Source organism: Homo sapiens, chromosome 12 (assembly GCF_000001405.40).
Source record: "Homo sapiens chromosome 12, GRCh38.p14 Primary Assembly".
Classification (NCBI taxonomy): domain Eukaryota; kingdom Metazoa; phylum Chordata; class Mammalia; order Primates; family Hominidae; genus Homo; species Homo sapiens.
This window is the reverse complement of record NC_000012.12, coordinates 96,500,196-96,518,663: the sequence shown is the minus strand read 5'-3', so window position 1 is coordinate 96,518,663 and position 18,468 is coordinate 96,500,196. Positions and strand designations below refer to the sequence as shown.

General features: G+C 40.9%; 1 protein-coding gene across 2 annotated transcripts in view, besides 2 other annotated features; it reads right to left on the bottom strand.

Moving 5' to 3' along the window:
* The window catches only part of CFAP54 (cilia and flagella associated protein 54), a 385,979-nt gene that overhangs the window by 356,892 nt on the left and 10,619 nt on the right, over positions 1 to 18,468 (bottom strand). For both annotated transcript variants that reach the window (NM_001367885.1, NM_001306084.2), the window contains exons 2-5: positions 17,725 to 17,830; positions 14,635 to 14,778; positions 11,565 to 11,736; positions 5,620 to 5,678 (exon numbers count right to left, since the gene is read on the bottom strand). In NM_001367885.1, coding sequence (NP_001354814.1) covers positions 5,620 to 5,678; positions 11,565 to 11,736; positions 14,635 to 14,778; positions 17,725 to 17,830 — 481 coding nt within the window. The remainder of the gene's footprint in view (positions 1 to 5,619; positions 5,679 to 11,564; positions 11,737 to 14,634; positions 14,779 to 17,724; positions 17,831 to 18,468) is intronic.
* Positions 1,833 to 1,942: a silencer, noted in NCBI's record as "silent region_4746". NCBI's record gives its function as "represses an Ori minimal core promoter by ATAC-STARR-seq in GM12878 lymphoblastoid cells {active_cell/tissue: GM12878}" and the evidence as "EXISTENCE:reporter gene assay evidence [ECO:0000049][PMID:35858748]".
* Positions 16,816 to 18,015: an enhancer, noted in NCBI's record as "MED14-independent group 3 enhancer chr12:96894427-96895626 (GRCh37/hg19 assembly coordinates)". NCBI's record gives its function as "activates an origin of replication core promoter dependent on BRD2, BRD4, P300/CBP and CDK7 cofactors, and independent of MED14, by STARR-seq in HCT116 cells {active_cell/tissue: HCT116}" and the evidence as "EXISTENCE:reporter gene assay evidence [ECO:0000049][PMID:35650434]".

The window sequence follows — 18,468 nt, the reverse complement described above, 5'->3', positions numbered from 1 at the left end:
CCCAGGCTGGAGTGCAATGGCACAATCGCAGCTTACTGCAACCTCCGCCCCCTGGGTTCAATTGATTCTCATGCCTCAGCCTCCTAAGTAACTGGAACTACAGGTGTGCACCACCACACCTGGCTAATTTTTCTATTTTAGTAGAGAGGGGGTTTTACCACGTTGACCAAGCTGGTCTTGAACTCCTGACCTCAAGTGATCCACCCGCCTCGGCCTCCCAAACTGCTGGAATTACAGGCATGAGCCACTGCACCCGGCCTGTCTTGTCTTATTATAAGCCTCTCTGCTCATTTTTATTAACATTTACCATGTCAACAGTAGTCTAGGAATTAACTCCAATGATACAATTGTTATTTGTTGGCCTGGAACCAGTATATGATTCTGAAGATTAGCTGGTATAGGAGGTAAGGAAAATGAAAAAGGCTTACAGCCTGGGGCCTGTGATGCTTAGTAGAAATGGTCCAAGATTAGAATCAAATAAACCTGGATTTTGGTCCCAATTTTACCACCTAGTGGCTGGATCATTTTACCTCTTTACGCCTCAATTTTCTCATCTGTAAAATGGGTATTTTTTCACATTACAATAGTGCTGTTATGGAGAAAGTGACAACGTACATGACATGCTAGGAAAATACTTCCATAATCTAAAATAAAATCCACCTTAATATACCTCCAGTGCATTGGTCCTCATGTCTTCCAGAACAGCACAAAGCAATCCAGAACTCACTTCTAAATTACAGCCATCCAGAAATCTAAAAACATTTATGTAGCCTGCCCTCTCCCTCAGCTCTCTCGTCCAGGGTAAATATCCCCAAGCACTTCCATCCCTCACGGAACTGCACTGCCCTTCTCCACCATGATTGGCCTTCTGTGGCTTTACCCCAGGTTGCCAGCATCCTTTCAGGGTGTATGGCTAGACCACAGTACAGTGAATGCTTTCAGTCCCTGGTTGTGGACACTGTACCTCTTCTAAATTAGACTAAGGTTGATTCCTTGCTGTTTTTGTTGTTGCTGTCATTGCTATTGTTGTGAACTTTGTGAACTGATATGAAATTAATCATATCACCAAAAACCCTCGAATTTTTCTCACATTTGCTGCTCCCTAACAATCTCTATTTCAGATTTTTGCATTTAGATTGTTGTGGTTTGGGTTGGGTGGTATATGATTAAGCCATGCCTAAATTTCCCCTTTAAATTCACATCTTTCTAAAATCCTTCAGGACTCCTGGTATTAGAAATTTCACATTTCAAAATGAAAATAGCTTCAGTTAACAATTGTTCACATTGTATTTGATTTGCTATGGAAAATCAAAGTTTTTTGTGCCAGAAGAGATCTTAAAAGTAACCTAGCTTGACTCCATGAGGCTAAACTCACTCTAATCAAAAGAGCTGGGGCTGAAACTCAGGTCTTTGAACTCCCAAATGCAGTGTTCTTTCCACTACACAGAGGAGCCCTGACAAAGGGGAGAAGCTCACCATAAACCACTTAGGGTTATGAAAAACCATCTTTCAAGTTTAAACAGGAAAAGCCATTTTCAAAATATGACTCAATTTGTAGCATTTTTTTCTTACCCTTAAAAGCTACAAATAATTGTTTCTATTAATTAAAAAATTTAATAGGATACATCAGGACTATTCTCTTCATGGAAAAAAAAAAAAAAACTTTAAAAAGTCAAATGATATCCATATCTAAAACATGGCCCCAGTAAGAGCATGTTGCAGGTGTTGAGCAGGAAATATACATACGATTAAATCAGCTCAGCCACAGGATGGCGCTGCAGCCTCATTTATATCAGCTTACACCATTTAAAGAAAATGACAAGCAATTTCAAAGTTAGGACTTAAAGTTTGTGTAATGGTACGTGAAATAATTTGACAGTAACTGTTCAAGCCACATACGTTGTCAAACCATTTCAGTTTCATAGTAAAATGAAACAGAAATCAATCGTTTCTTAGAATGAACAGATTCTAGATGTATTCTTTAATGTTTGCTGAGTACTATACTACAGTTTTAAATGCCACCAAAGAAGCTAAATTATTCCATAAACAAAAGCAAAATGGTCATATGTCTTCAGGGAAAGAGGTTTCAGAAGTCCGACCGCCCTCTATTCCCTAAGCTTATGCTGGTGACCTGCTGCAGCACTAAATTAGGTGTTTCTCACCTACGGAAGAGCCCCTGGTTAGTTTTGGTTTTCAGGATGTCTTTAGGAAGATAGGGTTATATCAGAAAATATCAACCCCTTCCCTGCAGCTTCTCCATTTGAGTATGTAAACCAAAATAGAATGGGTCATGACGGGATTCTATTTAGTCAACAGACATGCATTATTCTAATGGTACAGAGTGACACTGCCCCTGGTCTCAGCACATCTCTGACTAGATGTGTGACCCTAAGCAAAGTAACTTTTCCCAGCCTCAGCTTCCTTATCTATTATATAAGATAGAGGTAATGGCCGGACGCAGTGGCTCACACCTGTAATCCCAGCACTTTGGGAGGCCGAGGCGGGTGGATCACGAGGTCAGGAGATCAAGACCATCCTGGCTAACAAGGTGAAACCCTGTCTCTACTAAAAATACAAAAAATTAGCCAGGCATTGGGGCGGGTGCCTGTAGTCCCAGCTACTCAGGAGGCTGAGGCAGAAGAATGGCGTGAACCCGGGAGGTGGAGCTTGCAGTGAGCCAAGACCGCGCCACTGCACTCCAGCCTGGGCGACAGAGCGAGACTCCATATCAAAAAAAAAAAAAAAAAAAAACATAGAGGTAATGACAGCACCTTTCTCAAAGTGGTGGTGTGAAGATTAAATGAGATGACAAATGAAAGTGCTTACAAGCATACTTGATGACGGTAGGCATTCATTCAATCAATGTTAATGATGATGATGCTAGTGCCCACCTCATAAGCCTTTCACAGGACCTAGCACATGGTATAGATTCAATAATAACAAAAGCTAGCCATCATGCCTAGATCCTATAAAAACGGGAGTTTAGACAGCATGAGGAGCCCAGGTCTATTTCTCCTTCCGTCTTAGGCTATAACATACTTGAACTCTGAAGTCACTACAGTATTCAAAGCCCTCAGACCCAGGACATCTCACACACGGTGGGACCTCCAAAGACTTGTCTCCATTAAATGGACCCATCAAATCCATTTTTAGCCTCAGCTCAGGAATCAATTTACCAACTGGAGGTTTGGGAATTACTGGTGAAAATTATTAATTTCCTTGAAACAGAAAGAATGTCATTCAGATCTTCAGGTGCCAAATGTACAACCACCCACCCCTCCCCCAAAATTATTGCATCCCTCACCTCCCATCCCCATCCCACAAGACTGGCACCACAGAACTATACTCATTTTGGGCCAGGCACCGTGGCTCACGCCTGTAATCCCAGCATTTTGGAAGGCTTGAGGCGGGAAGATCACTGGAGGTCAGGAGTTCGAGACCAGCCTAGCCAATATGATGAAACCCCATCTCTACTAAAAATACAAAAAATTAGCCTGGCATGGTGGTGGGTGCCTGTAATCCCAGCTACTCAGGGGGCTGTGGCAGGAGAATCACTTGAACCCAGGAGGCAGAGCTTGCAGTGAGCTAAGACGGCGCCACTGCACCCAGCCTGGGCAACAGAGCAACACTCAGTCTCAAAAAAAAAAAAAAAAGAACTATACTCATTTTAGTGTCATTTTACAGGCGATTTAAGTTTTGAAATATAATGAACAAAAGAATAATTTTAGTGGCAAAATTTATGTACCCTGTGCTTTTATTAATTCATATAAAATATTATCGGTTCCCATGGTTTCCTTATGGTTGAAAAACTGAAGATTTATCTCCTAATAAGATTAGAATACCTATTTAATCAGCATGGCAAAATACTCAACTATCCTTATTTTATCAGAGACAAACTCAAGGTATATGAGGCAGAGAAGAAATGTCTTACAAAGGTTATGAATAAGAAATTATTTTAAGATGACTGTCACTTTAAAATTCTCTCAGTGTTAACAAGCACAAACACTAACAGTCAAATGTCGGCACAGACATTTCTGCCCTTCAAAGCTTTGGCAGCAAGCACTGCAGCAGACCAAACTATGATGGTCCTGTGAAGCCATGTTTGTTGTTGTTACACCAAGCGCAACCAGAGTATGCAAATTCTCTTTAGGAAATCATCTGGAACTGAATGTAGCATCATTGCAGTAGTCTGCGGGCCAAGTTTACATTAGGCCTGGGAGAGTCCCCCCTCAATTTAATTCACACTCAGAAAGCTGGCACAGAGCTTCTTCAAGTCACTGTCTGTCATAGAGTTTTTTAATTTGAGAAGCAAAACAGAGAGAGAACACATAATTAATGTTATCCATTGAGCATGCAAATTTCTTTACTTCCATTTTTATTTTTCAGATGTTGTCAACTTTTAAGATACTTGGCTATGCTTTGAGGAAATAAGAAAAAACATATCTCTCCTGAGTGTTAGAATATTCAGGGTAAGGTTCTGTATGGAATAAAGAATAAAGTAGTCATGTTTCAGATGCCAGCAACAACTCAAGCAGGGTCTCAACGGGAGTATATTCGCCCTTCTTGGCCTACATTCCAATAACTGGAAAACTAATACAGGGAATAAATATGTCTCCCGTGGACAAAAATGCTACCAACATTGTAGGGAAGTCAATAGAAGTGTCAGCAACTTCCTCAAGCTAACACTGAGCAGTGACTACTGGTAAGTAAGAATCTTATTATAAAATAAAGTCTCCTTGCCTTTGTCATGCAACTGGGTTAGAGTTTAAGTGTGCATTCACCCGATTAGCATGCAGGCCAGAAGTGGAAGCACTTCAAGCAGAATGAAATCCAAGCTCCGTATCATGACATAAAGGGGGTAACCATAGTTTATCATCCAAACCAGGACACCTTTTTTTAATTTTCTATTTTTTTTTCATTTGAGACACAGTCTTGCTCTGTCACCCAGGCTAGAGTGCAAAGTGGCACGATCTTGGCTCTCTGCAACCTCCGCCTCCCAGGCTCAAGCAATCTTCCCACCTCAGCCTCCCAAGTAGCTGGGACTACAGGCATGTGCCACCAGGTCCGGCTAATTTTTGTATTTTTTGTAAAGACGGGGTTTTGCCATGTTGGCCAGGCTGGTCTCAAACTCCTGGCCTCAAGTGATCTGCCAGTCTAGGTCTCCCGAAGTGCTGGGATTACAGGTGTAAGCTACTGCACCCGGCCCAGGCCACTTTTACTAGTAAAAGTGGGCACTACTGATAATTACTAACAGGACAACAGGCATAAACCGGGACTTTCCTGGGCAAGCCAGGACGGATGGTCACCCTACCTAAAGCTATAGCAACCAGATGGATGTTTACTATCAAGCGTGACAAGCATGACTATCTGAGAGACAGAGAATACTAACATTTTCAGGAATTTCCTTTCTTTTCATTAAATCATCTATATTTTTACATATGATCCCTATTAAAGCAAAACTAAGAATAATAAAGCTATATAATATATATTTACTAAATTTTATATTATATAATTCTCCAAATATTCCTTGTTTAACATTCAATATACTGTGTAATGAAAGCCTTAAGAAAAATAAAACAGGAAATAGAGGGGAAAATATTTTGTCAGTACATTTCATACCTTGGAAGACTGACCTATGACCATCAGTTTTCTGCAAATGGTGTAAATATAAATGGTACCTGGATGGAGAAAACGATTGTTAACATGTTTTACAGTCAAATGATAGAAATTTTATATTCCAATTTCTGTGGTTCAAGTCTGTAGTTCCCAAAACAAGTGATCTTATGAGGAAGTCTGATAATGGTATATAGAGTTATACTCATCATAATTTTTCTTGTAACTTGTAAACAAAATCATTAAAATAATTAACATGGCCGTATTTTAAATATGTTGACACAGGAATCTTCTAGTCTCATTTTACAGGCCATTTAACTTTTGAAGTATAATGAACAAAAGAATAATTCTAGTGGCATAATTTATGTACCCTGTGCTTTCATTAATTCATATAAAATATTACTGGTTCCCAGCTGTGTACAGTGGCTACGCCTGTAATCCCAGCACTTTGGGAGCCTGAGGCGGGAGGATCACGAGGTCAGGAGCTCAAGACCAGCCTGTCCAATATGGTAAAACCCCGTTTCTACTAATAATACAAAAATTAGCCGGGCGTGGTGGCATGCACCTGTAGTCCCAGCTACTTGGGAGACTGAGGGAGAAAAATCGCTTGAACCTGGGAGGCGGAGGTTGCAGTGAGCCGAGATCATGCCACTGCACTCTAGCCTGGGCGACAGAGCAAGACTCCATCTCAAATATATACATATATATATATATATATATATATATATATATATATATATATATATATAAAATTGGTTCCCATGGTTTCCTTATCATTTAAAAACTAAAGATTTATCTCCAAATAAGATCAGAATACATATTTAATCAGCATGGCAAAATACTCAACAAGGAAACTCATAATAATTTAAAAATCATAATGCATAACAGGGCACGTTATATTCACTCTCAGACTCATATAACATTTTTCCTATTATCAAGGTGTGTCCTACTAGCATTCTAGTGAAAAAATAGCATTTCCAACACCTAAGTAAGGACACATGCTTTTGTGTCAGACCATTAATTAAAAGAGGATAGAAGGCTGGAGGGAGGGTTGAAGAGAGGAGTGGGGAACATCACCATACTTCTCTCTGTATACAAGCAGTTTATCTATCTATAAACATACCCAAAAGATGGTAGCATGCTTTAAAAAGGCATGTAATTGTAACAGATAGTCTAAATATTTTCTATAAAGTATCTAATATTCGTAACCATAAAAACTCAACAATTATGAATTCTATGTTCAGGTTTAAACTTTTAAGTTTCTGATGGCCAGGCGCCGTGGCTCACGCCTATAATCCCAGCACTTTGGGAGGCTGAGGCAGGCAAAACACCTGAGGTCAGGAATTCGAGACCAGCCTGGCCAACATGGAGAAACCCCATCTCTACTAAAAATACAAAATTAGTTGGGCATGATGGTGTGCACCTGTAATCCCAGCCGGGCGTGGTGTCTCACACCTGTAATCCCAGCACTTTGGGAGGCTGAAGGGGGCAAAACACCTGAGGTCAGGAATTCGAGATCAGCCTGGCCAACGTGGAGAAACCCCATCTCTACTAAAAACACAAAAGTAGCTGGGCGTGATGGTATGCACCTGTAATCCCAGCTACTCAGGAGGCTGAGGCAGGAGAATTGCCTAAGCCCAGGTGACAGAGATTGCAGTGAGCCAAGATTGCGCCATTGCACTGCAGCCTGGGTGACAGAGCGAGTCTCCATCTCAAAAAAATAAATAAATAAAAAGTTTGTGAGAAAATGGCAACTGCACCAAAACATCTATTACTTGATTAGAACACAACTATAAGCATAATAAACATCAATTACACAAATCAGTGACCCCCAAAATTGAATAAAATTTAAATTTAAATGTATAGTACCCTAAATTTCATAGAGAATGCAATTGGTCCTTAACATTCAGGGACTTGGCATTATTCATGTGACTACCCCCAGCACCTGCAGTTATTCATTCCACTGAAGATCCACTGGGGAAGAAACCACTCGACTAATAACAGCTCAAGCTCAGCAGACTTATCTCAACGAGGCTTTGTTGACCTCTACTCTTCATCTTTTTCATTTCTTTTTTTTTTTTTTTTTTGAGATAAGAGTCTCGCTCTGTCACCCAGGCTGGAGTACAGTGGTGCAATCTCAGCTCACGGTGACCTCCACCTCCCGGGTTCAAGTGATTCCCGTGCCTCAGGCTCTCAAGTAGCTGGGATTACAGGCGCTCGCCACCACGCTCAGCTAATTTTTGTATTTTTAGTAGAGACAGGGGTCTTGCCATGTTGGCCAGGCTGGTCTCGAACTCCTGACCTCAAGTAATCTGGCTTCCCAAAGTGCTGTGATGAGAAGCGTGAGCCACCATTCCTGGCCTCTACTCTTCATCTTTAAAAATAAAACTGTCTAAGTGTTTCTTTGCAGGAAAAAAAAATAGTCACCAAGTAAAAATATGCACAGGAAACACATGCCTGTCCAAAAAACATGTGATGAGGATGTAAGCCAGGAGCCTGTATAAACATGCCAGTAACGGGGAACTGGGGAACTGAGGAAGGCCTCAGGAGACTGCCCTCAAGAATGACAAGGGCCCTCTGTATTTCAAAAAGGTGCCTTTCACCTTTCCAGCACTAAAATGTTCTGACTGTAACTAAGTCCTTTGACAGTTCAAGATCTTGGCATGGCTCACAAATTCCTGCTGCAAAAGCCAGACTCAGAGAGTAAATGGTATCAGATGGAACACAGACTGAATCTTTATGATCTCAGGGTATTTCTGGAAGTTTATTTCCTTTGTTCTTTTTTTTTTTTTTTTTTTGAGATGGAGTCTTGCTCTGTTGCCCAGGCTGGAGGGAAGTGGCATGATCTCGGCTCACTATAACCTCTGCTCCCCGGGTTCAAGCAATTCTCCTGCCTCAGCCTCCCAAGTAGCTGTGATTATAGGCACACGCCACCACACCCGGCCAATTTTTGTATTCTTAGTAGAGATGGGGTTTCACTACGTTGGCCAGGCTGGTCTTTCACCTGGGCCTCCCAAAGTGCTAGGATTACAGGCGTGAGCCACCATGCCGGGCCTGTTTCATTTTTAACCAAGTCCCTAATAGGAGTTTATTGCCTGGTCTTGTGAGTCCTTTTCATTAAAAATGGCCACCATCAAAATAATCTAGTTGAGGGTCTAAATTAGTTGGGTTCACTTTAGTTGAAAAGTAAGGTATTACTTAATATCCATATACCCAATTAGATTTTTTTTTTTTTGAGATGGAGACTTGCTCTGTCACCCAAGCTGGAGTGCAGTGGCATGATCTTGGCTCACTGCAACCTCCGCCTCCCAGATTCAAGCAATTCTCCTGCCTCAGCCTCCTGAGTAACTGGGATTACAGGCATGCACCACCACACCCGGATAATTTTTGTACTTTTAGTAGAGACCCAGTTTCACCATGTTAGCCAGGCTGGTCTTGAACTCCTGACCTCAGGTGATCTGCTTGCCTTGGCCTCTCAAAGTGCTAGGATTACAGGTGTGAGCCACTGTGTGCAGCCTAAATTTTTATTTAAAAACCAAGATTGGTTAAATATTTGAAGAAACCAAGAGTGTGTATGTATAACAGTCAATTAAAAGTAAATAGAGTAAATGTCTAACTGAAAAGGTCAAATGTATTTTGATAAGTTATCAAGGCACATTTGACATTTTCAGTCAAATATAGTTTTGACTACTTAAATTCCAAACTGTCAAAACTTCAGGGTCTTTGCACTTGCTGATCCCCCAGGTGGAATGCCCTTCCACCAGATACCCAGAAGTTTCACTATCCAAACTCCTTCAGGTCTTTGTTCCTCTGTCATCTCAGCAGCCCAGCCCCTCCTCTCTCTATCCCCTTCTGGCTTTGACTTTTCTCCATAGCCTCGTCACTATCTGACACAATTCAGTTTTGATTTGTTTAGCATCTCCCTGCAATGGAAGTCAGCATGAGAATGTGGTTTTTGTCTACTGTCCACTCCTGTGTCCCTAGCACCTAGAACAATGCCTAGCATATGGTAGGCATTCAGTAAGTTAGAGAATAAATTAAAACAGGAAGAGTAGTTACTGAAACTAAGTATGTGTATCTCCCAGAACCCAGTAATTCCACTCCTAGGCACAGATCCCAGAAAACTCTCGCACAGGTCTATAAAAGGACATGTGTAAGGATATTCATTGCAGAATTATTTGTGCAATTAGAGAGGTCAGGCAAACCAGGTGCTCATCGCCAGGCCTGTATGGATATCTGCAATATAATTCAGCAGGCAGAATTAATGAATTAGATTTACATACAGGAACTTAGCTAGATTCTAAAACCCCACAATATTCAGCAGGAAAAAAAAAAAAGGAAACAGAATAAAATCTAGAGCACAATGCCATGTGTATTAAAAAAGAGAAAAGGAAAAAAGCACATACCAAGAAAAAGATATCAAGGATACAGAAATAATCTTTTAAAAAAAAAAAAAAAATTGAGAGGCCGGGCATGGTGGCTCACACCTGTAATTCCAGCACTTTGGGAGGTGGAGGCGGGCGGATTGCCTGAGGTCAGGAGTTCAAGACCAGCCTGGCTACCATGGTAAAAACCCGTCTGTACTAAAAATACAAAAATTGGCCGGGTGTGGTGGGGCGTGCCTGTCATCCCAGCTACTCGGGAGGCTGAGGCAGGAGAATCGTTTGAACCCAGGAGGTGGAGGTTGCAGTGAGCCGAGATCATGCCACTGTACTCCAGCCTGGGCAACACAGCGAGACTCCATCTCAAAAAAAAAAAAAAAAGATTATTGAGAGAAATGTAATCCCAGTGCTTTGGAAGGCTGATGCAGAATGGCTTAAGCCCAGGAGTTCAAGGCTCAAGGCTGCAGTGATCATGCCACACTGCACTCCACTCTGGGTGAGAAAGTGAGACCCTGTCTCAGACAAAAAAAAAAAAAAAAAAAGACTATGTTTGGGTTGTGATCTTAAAAGGAGTAAAGACAGGGAATCATGCTCATTTCCACCACTCAAACAAGGGCTGACCACAGGGCTCAACCACTGGGCCTAACATGGAACTGCTGCTCCTTCTCCGTCCCTGCCAAGATGTGTGAGAGATGGCAGTGGTGGCGCAGGTAACATCGAATCTCTGGAGGATGATCAGACACAAAAGCTTAATAATCACTGGACTGAAAAAATCTCATCAAAGTTGGCCTCATCTCTGGCAGCAAATGTAAAGTCTGATTTCAATCAAAATGTCAAAACATGACTTGGGGGTGGGTGAGAAAGGAAAAGGCTAGAAAATATACTTTCAGTTGCCATGGATGAGGGAAAATCCAATATGTTTCCTTGAAGTTATTTGATCCTGTCTTATGCACATCGAACACACTGTCAATATTTTCCTTTTAAAAATATATTATCCAGAGAATAATGCAGTAAGTTGCAACTTTAAAATAGAGAAAAGCAAGTATTACATTTTTTAGCTGAGAGTCATTTCTTCAGACATACACATAATGTACATATGTGTGTGTGTATGTGTGTGTGTGTGTGTGTGTGTGTATGTGTGTGTGTGTGTTCCTCAGCAGTCCTCACTCAAAATAAAAGTAGGAGGAGGTCACTTTGTAGAAACCCAAAGCCAAGTTGTTTGAGGACAGGGCCAGTAAATGGGTGATGCTTAGAGCCAATCTAACCCGCACTGGTTCTTTGACCCTTCTCCATCTATATTTACTTGTTAACTGCGGCCCTGCTTTTTGAACACCCAACAGTGATTATTCCCACAGTCTCTGACCCTTTCCCCAGTGAAAACCCAAAGACATGCTTTATCCATCCCAATTTACGAGGACAAACATGTCACACGAATGTTGAAAAAAATATATTCATCCTATTATGAAATGCGTATGTTTTAAATCACAAGGTACTCAAGCTACTGTCAAACTTAGCATTGAAGTAACTTTCTGAAAGACACAATGGAAAATAAAATACATCAGCATATACCATTGAAGATAATCCAGCAAAGATGCTCTTGTGGCAGAGCCACTTGCATGATGAGCCTTAAGGAGGACAAGATATGCAGACACTGGACCACAGATTCTTTATTCTTCAGGTTTTCATCACTGTCGCAGACCAGCTGGTAGTTGCACATATTTTTGCCACTCAAAGCATGAAACTGAAACACATGGGAAAATAGAAATAGAAATAGAAATAACTGGCCAGGAACAGTAGCTCACACCTGTAATCCCAGCACTTAGGGAGGCCAAGGTGGGCAAATCACCTGAGGTCAGGAGTTTGAGACCAGCCTGGCCAACATGATGAAATCCTGTCTCTACTAAAAATACAAAAATTAGCTGGGCGTGGTGGCACATGCGTGTAATCCCAGCTACTCAGGAGGCTGAGGCAGGAGAATCGTTTGAACCTGGGAGGCAGAGGTTGCAGTGAGCCAAGATCGTGCCACTGCATTCCAGCCTGGGTGACAAGAGAGAAACTCCATCTCAAAAAAAAAAAAAAGAAAAGAAAAGAAAGAAAAAGAAGGAAGAAATAGAAATAACTTAGGAAAGCATTTCTCAAAATGTAAAAAACTAAAATGGAAACAATTATGGATAATTAATTTAATAGATTAGTGTAAAAAAAAAAAGATAGGTTTCTTTAAAACATCCATCTAGTTAAGACTAGCTTTCCTTAGTCACAAGAAATTCAGAAAGAAAAACAAATCCTATTACCAAAAATACAGAATTGAATCAATTTTTTTTTTTTTTTTTTGAGACGGAGTCTTGCTCTGTCTCCCAGGTTGGAGTGCAGTGGCTGACCTCGGCTCACTGCAAGCTCCACCTCCTGGGTTCACGCCATTCTCCTGCCTCAGCCTCCTGAGTAGCTGGGACTACAGGTGCCCGCCACCACGCCTGGTTACTTTTTTGTATTTTTAGTAGAGACGGGGTTTCACCGTGTTAGCCAGGATGGTCTCGATCTCCTGACCTCGTGATCCGCCTGCCTCGGCCTCCCAAAGTGCTAGGATTACAGGCGTGAGCCACCGCGCCCGGCCAGAATTGAATCAATTGTTATAAGCTCCCCAGTGGCATTTTAACTTATTTATTAATTCAGATGTGATTATAACCATTTACACAATTCACTCAACAAATGTTTCTTGAGCACCTCTATTAGCCACACTCTGCTAGGCAACAGAGACTCTAGGATGAGGAAGAAACGGACACTGCTCTTAGAGGAGGGAAAACAGTTACAGGCTCATGCACCAGGCTCATGCAGCATTGAAGGGACTGCTGCGGTCACTGAATTGAAAGTATTTTGTAAGGTTGGATGAGATGGTTTAAAATAAAGAAGTGAGGCCAAGGCAGGCAGATCACTTGAGGTCAGGAGTTCGAGACCAGCCTGGCCAACATGGAGAAACCCCATCTCTACTAAAAATACAAAAATTAGCCAGGCATGATGGTGCGCACCTGTAATCCCAGCTACTCAGGAAGTTGAGGCAGGTGAATCACTTGGGCCCAGGAGGCGGAGGCTGCAGTGAGCCAAGACTGCACCACTGCACTCCAGCTTGGGCAACAGAGTGAGCCTCGGTCTCAAAAAAAAAAAAAAAAAAGTGAGGCTATTATAGGGGTGACCCAGGCTCAGAAAAAGAGAGAGAGCATTCCATGTATTCCAAGGAATTTGGACTTTAGCCAAAAGGCAAAGTCAATGGGTAGTGGAACAAAATGACAGGTTTCTACTTTAGAAATTAATTGGCCAGGCACGGTGGCTCACACCTGTAATCCCAGCACTTTGGGAGGCCAAGGAGAGTGGATCATGAGGTCAGGAGTTTGAGACCACCCTGACCGACATGGTGAAACCCCATCTCTACTAAAAATACAAAAATTAGCCGGGCATGGTGGTATGCGCCTGTAATCCCAGCTACTAAGGAGGCTGAGGCAGGAGAATTGCTTGAACCTAGGAGGCAGAGGTTGCAGTGAACTGAGATCATGCCACTGCACTCCAGCCTGGGCAACAGAACAAGACTCCAAAAAAAAAAGAAGAAAAGAAAGGAAAGAAAGGAAGAAAGGAAGAAAAGAAAGAAAGAGAAGAAAAGAAAAAGAAAGAAAGAAAGAAAGAAAAAGAAAGAAGAAAGAAAGGGAAAGAAAGAAAGAAAGAAAGAAAAAGAAAGAAAGAGGAAGAAAGAAAAATAAATTCTGGCAAAATATGAAAAGCAAAAAGCAGAAGGTAGGGGGTCAAGGCTACAAAAAGGGGAGTAGGAGAGACCTTTTCCCTAACAGGGTGCCAACCTACATCGCCCAGTATTCTCATTCACGTACCTATGGTACAGCCAAATTGAACTGTTCAATTGTCTCCCAAACATGCCTTAAGAGTTTCTGCTTATTAACCACATACGGGTCCCAAACCCTTGAATAGTCCTCAAGTTTGAAGTAACATAGATTTAGAGTCAGACTGATCAGGGTTCAAACACCAACCCTGCCCATTGCTTTAAGTGGGCTAATAAACTTCCATTTCCTAACCTGTAAAAGAGGCACCTCTTAGGACTTTAATGAGGCTGCAAGATGATAATTCATACAATGTATTTAGAAGAGTACTCAGCACATGAAAACTGCTCAACCAGTGAATCAATGGTAGTAATTAACAAAATACTGGTATACTAGAAATAAAGTATAAATATTTTATATCAATAGATTTATGTTTAATCTTGAGTCGCTTTTTTATACTATGTGATAAGCTTTATTTTTCTCTTCTGTAAAATAGGGATAATAGTATGTAACTCATAAAATTACTTTATCAAATTTGTTTTCCAAAGCACTTTATAAACTAAATGCACTCTACAAGTATTAGTTATTAAATAACAACTGCTACATGAATGAGTGACTGCAGTGACTTAATCTCCAAAGCATCCTTACAAAGCTTGATAAGTTCACTTTCTTATCCAGCACTGAAAGTATTTATTAAGCAACTTATAGCACACAGCTAGATGCTATGCTAAGCCAACAAGACATTTAGAAGCTGTCAACTAAAAGATACATTGTATAGCTAATCATAAATTGTAGCTATTTCAGCTGCTCTTTCATCTTACTGTAAGTCCAGCAGTTTTATCTTTAAAGCCTTTTGGGAAAAAGGTAGCTTTGAATTGAGTTACATCCACTTTATTCTCATCAAAATTGGTATTGAACTGCTGAAGATATCTTCCATAGCATTGTAAAAGGGCCAGTTTGTATTCCTGAAACAAAAGGAGTACTTGATTAAAGTTCCAAAATATCATTTAGCTTATCATTATTAGGTAATATTCATATTATTCCTAATAGTATCAAGGTTGATTATTACAATTATACCATTACTACTGGCTCCATTTTCCAAAAACATAGTATGTGAGAGACACTGCACTATACAATGTATGTGCATTATTTCATCTAATTCTCCTCACAATGAGCCTATGTGAGATGGGACCATCATGACCACAAGGATGAGAATATTTACTATGGCACTGTGCATGGTAATACCTACAAATACTCAAAACCCAGGTTCCAAAATTCAGCATCATCAGATCATGGTAACCCACATACCTAGAGAGGTGGATGAGTAGTCTTGCTTCTCTGATACCTCATAGGCTCGAAAAAGAAAAGAAACGAAGAGCGAGCGAGCGAGAGAGAAACAAAGGAAGGAAGGAAAGAAGGAAGGGAGGGAGGGAGGGAGGGAGAGAGGAAGGGAGGAAGGGAAAGGAAGGAAGGAGGGAAGGGAGAGAGGGAGGGAGGAAGGCAGGAAGGAAGGAAGGGAAAGAAGGGGAAGGGAAAGGAAAGGAAAAGAAAAGGGAAGAGAAGGGGAAAGGAAAGGAAGGGGGAAGAAAGGAAGTGAAAGAGAGAGAGAGAAAGAAAGGAAGGAAAAAAAAGGAAAGGAAAGGAAGAAAGAGAAAGAAAGGGAGGGAAGGAGGAAGGAAAAAATAAAGGGAGGGAGGGAAAGAAAGAAAGAGGAGAGAGAGAAAGCGAGAAAGAAGGAAGGAAGGAGAGAGAGAGAAAGAAAGAAAGAGAAAGAAAGAAAGAGAGAGAGAGAAAGGAAGGGAGGGAGAGAGGAAGGAAAGGAAGGGAGAGGGAGGGAGAGAGGAAGGAAGAGAGGAAGAAAGAGGGAACCAAAGAAGAGAAAATAAAAGAAAAAACTGCAGAGTGAGGTGAGCTACTTGCCTCTCTTTCATCTGTCAACACTCTAAAGCTGCATCAGGACAAATAAAAAGCATCTGAGCAGTGGGATTTTTATTCATTCAAATTCATGCTTATGTTCCCATTACAGAATCAGATGCCCCATTTCTGTAACCCACAGGGCTCAGTTACCTGGAGGGTTTCAGGGCAGGGGACATAAGCAGTGCTTTCAAAATGAGTCACTTGCAACCCTTCCTCAGCTCCCTCCCCCACAACTTCATCCCCAGGAAAAGCAACTGCCCAAGGTTGAACTGGCTGTCCAGTTACCTAGCCCCTTGGGAGGCATCTTCAGTCAAACACTGTTTTGTTTAAATTTCTATTAAAGATTTGTTTTTGCTCACTAATCCTGAATCTTTTCTGCTCTAACTTGAGTCATATAATAAATTCAAATCTAGGTTTAAAAAAAATTTTCCACAAGATGATCTTTACTACAACTAAAATAAAAATAGAGCCTAGAAACCAAAGTAACAAGTTCATTTTCAGAATTATAAATACCTTTTTTTTTTTTTTTTTTTTTTTAGGGACAGTGTTTCGCCATGTTACCCAGGCTTGTCTCAAACTCCTGGGCTCAAGCAAGCAATCTGCCCTCCTCAGCCTACCAAAGTTCTGGGATTACAGGTGTGAGCCACCATGCCCAGCCTGGCCAACATTCCCTTCAGTGAAAAGTAGATAAAACTTTTTCTTTGTTCCTTTAATTAAATATTAAAATATCCTATCTAGGCCTTTCTATCTAAAACATTCTGAATCCTTAGCTACCAGCCATCTTTAACTTGCTTTATCAGCTTCTAACATACACCTCTCTCCTCCCTCCACTAATATCCACTCCACCCACACAGACATTTCTCAAACAACCCTACACTGTGCTTTTTATTTGTATTACCAGCTTCTTATACTGAAAAGTGTAAGGATGGAAAGGGGGCTATCTTGTAATTCTTGTCAAAACTCTTATTCCACTTACATGAATAAAGCTTCCAAGTTGAATCTCACCCAGGTTTCTTTTCTGTAGCTTACCAAGCCCTGTATTTTCAAGTTTCTAAGACCCATGGTCCATTTATGTGGAACTATGGTTATTCTCTAGTTTTGGCAGAAGAAAATAGATCTTAGTTCTTCATTATGAAGTTCCACCACTCATATCCTCTATTTGGTAAATTTGTCTCCCAGACCAAGAGGATTAAAGTCCAGAAAACAGAGAGGGGAAAAATGAAGTTGAGAAACTGAAGATTGAGAAAACACTGAACACTGCCCACGGCTGGCCTAAGATCCCATTGTCTGACGTTCACATAACTTAGAATAATCTGGACCTAGGCCAGAGTTTAAGGGGGAAACTCACATGATCATTAATGGAAAACCCAGCCATGCTGTGGTCTCAGCAAACCAAGTCCACCGGTCCACAGCATTCCAAGCCCTAGACATTCAGGTAGAACTAAAAGAAGGACACAAACTCATTCTGGAATACAATACTGAGCAAGAAACAGGGTATGTATGGAATGACTGTTATAATTACATACAGCAAAACATTAAGAAAGAGTTGAAAGAGTTTAATAAACAGGGCACTGAAGCAAGCAACAGAGCTGCAAGGCCAAGAGCCCTGAAGGTTGACCACTGGGCAAGGCCAGCCATATGAAAAACAACAGGAAGTGGTGTCTGGGCTCCTTTGTATAAGGTAGGAACACGATGATTCAGCATTTCCTGTTGTGTGCCTACCACACCCTCTGTTAACCCGGCCACCCTCCTGCCCATCCACAGCCAGCTGCCTGGCTGTTCAGGAATGTCTCACCTCTGGGAAATCTCAACTACAAAATTAAAAAGCAACACTTTTTTGGTTACTGTGCCTTATTAAAATTTTTATGTACTCATTTATTTTTTTCTAAGAGAAAAATCAAAACATGTAAAATAGGAAGGGTATCAGACTAAATACTGTAATAATAATTAGCCAAATGAACTTCTTTTTGGCTCTTTCCTGCAGAGGCACTTACTTTCATTTGACAAAGGCTATCTCCAACCTTCAGAAGCTTTTCGTTGTAATAGTCTGCTGGCAGCCTGGGGGCGTATTTAGTCCAGATATTAAACAAAGAAGTGGCACTGTAAAAATCATAAAATAAAACGACATTGTCAAAGTCTGCAGGAAACCCCAATTAATTTGCAAGCAATCCTTTAAAACTTACCTTATGCTAAAGCCTTTCCAATGTGCCTTATTGTTAATGTCCAATTATTAATAATAAATGTAATTACAGTTAAAATTATTGCTTCCTATGTACCAAGCATTGATTGCAGCCCTTTACATATTTTTTTTAGATACTTTACTTCATAGAGCAATTTTAAGTTCACAACAGAATTGAGCAGAAGATTCTGAGATTTCCCATATATACCCTGTGCCCCCAAACATGCACAGCCCTCCCCATTATCAACATCTCCACTAGAATGGTACCTTTGTTGTGATGAACCTACATTGACACATCATTATCACCCAAAGTCCATAGTTTAGGGTTCACTGTTGGTGTCATCCATTCCATGAGTTTGGACAAATGTATATAATGTCTATCCACTGTGAAAATATCAGAGAGTAGATTCACTATCCTAAAAATCCTCCGTGCTCCACTTATTCATCCCTCCTTTCCCGCTTAATCTCTGTTAACCACTGATATTTTTACTGTCTCCATAGTCATGCCTTTTCCAAAATGTCATAGTTGGAATCATATAGTAGGAAGCCTTTTCAGATT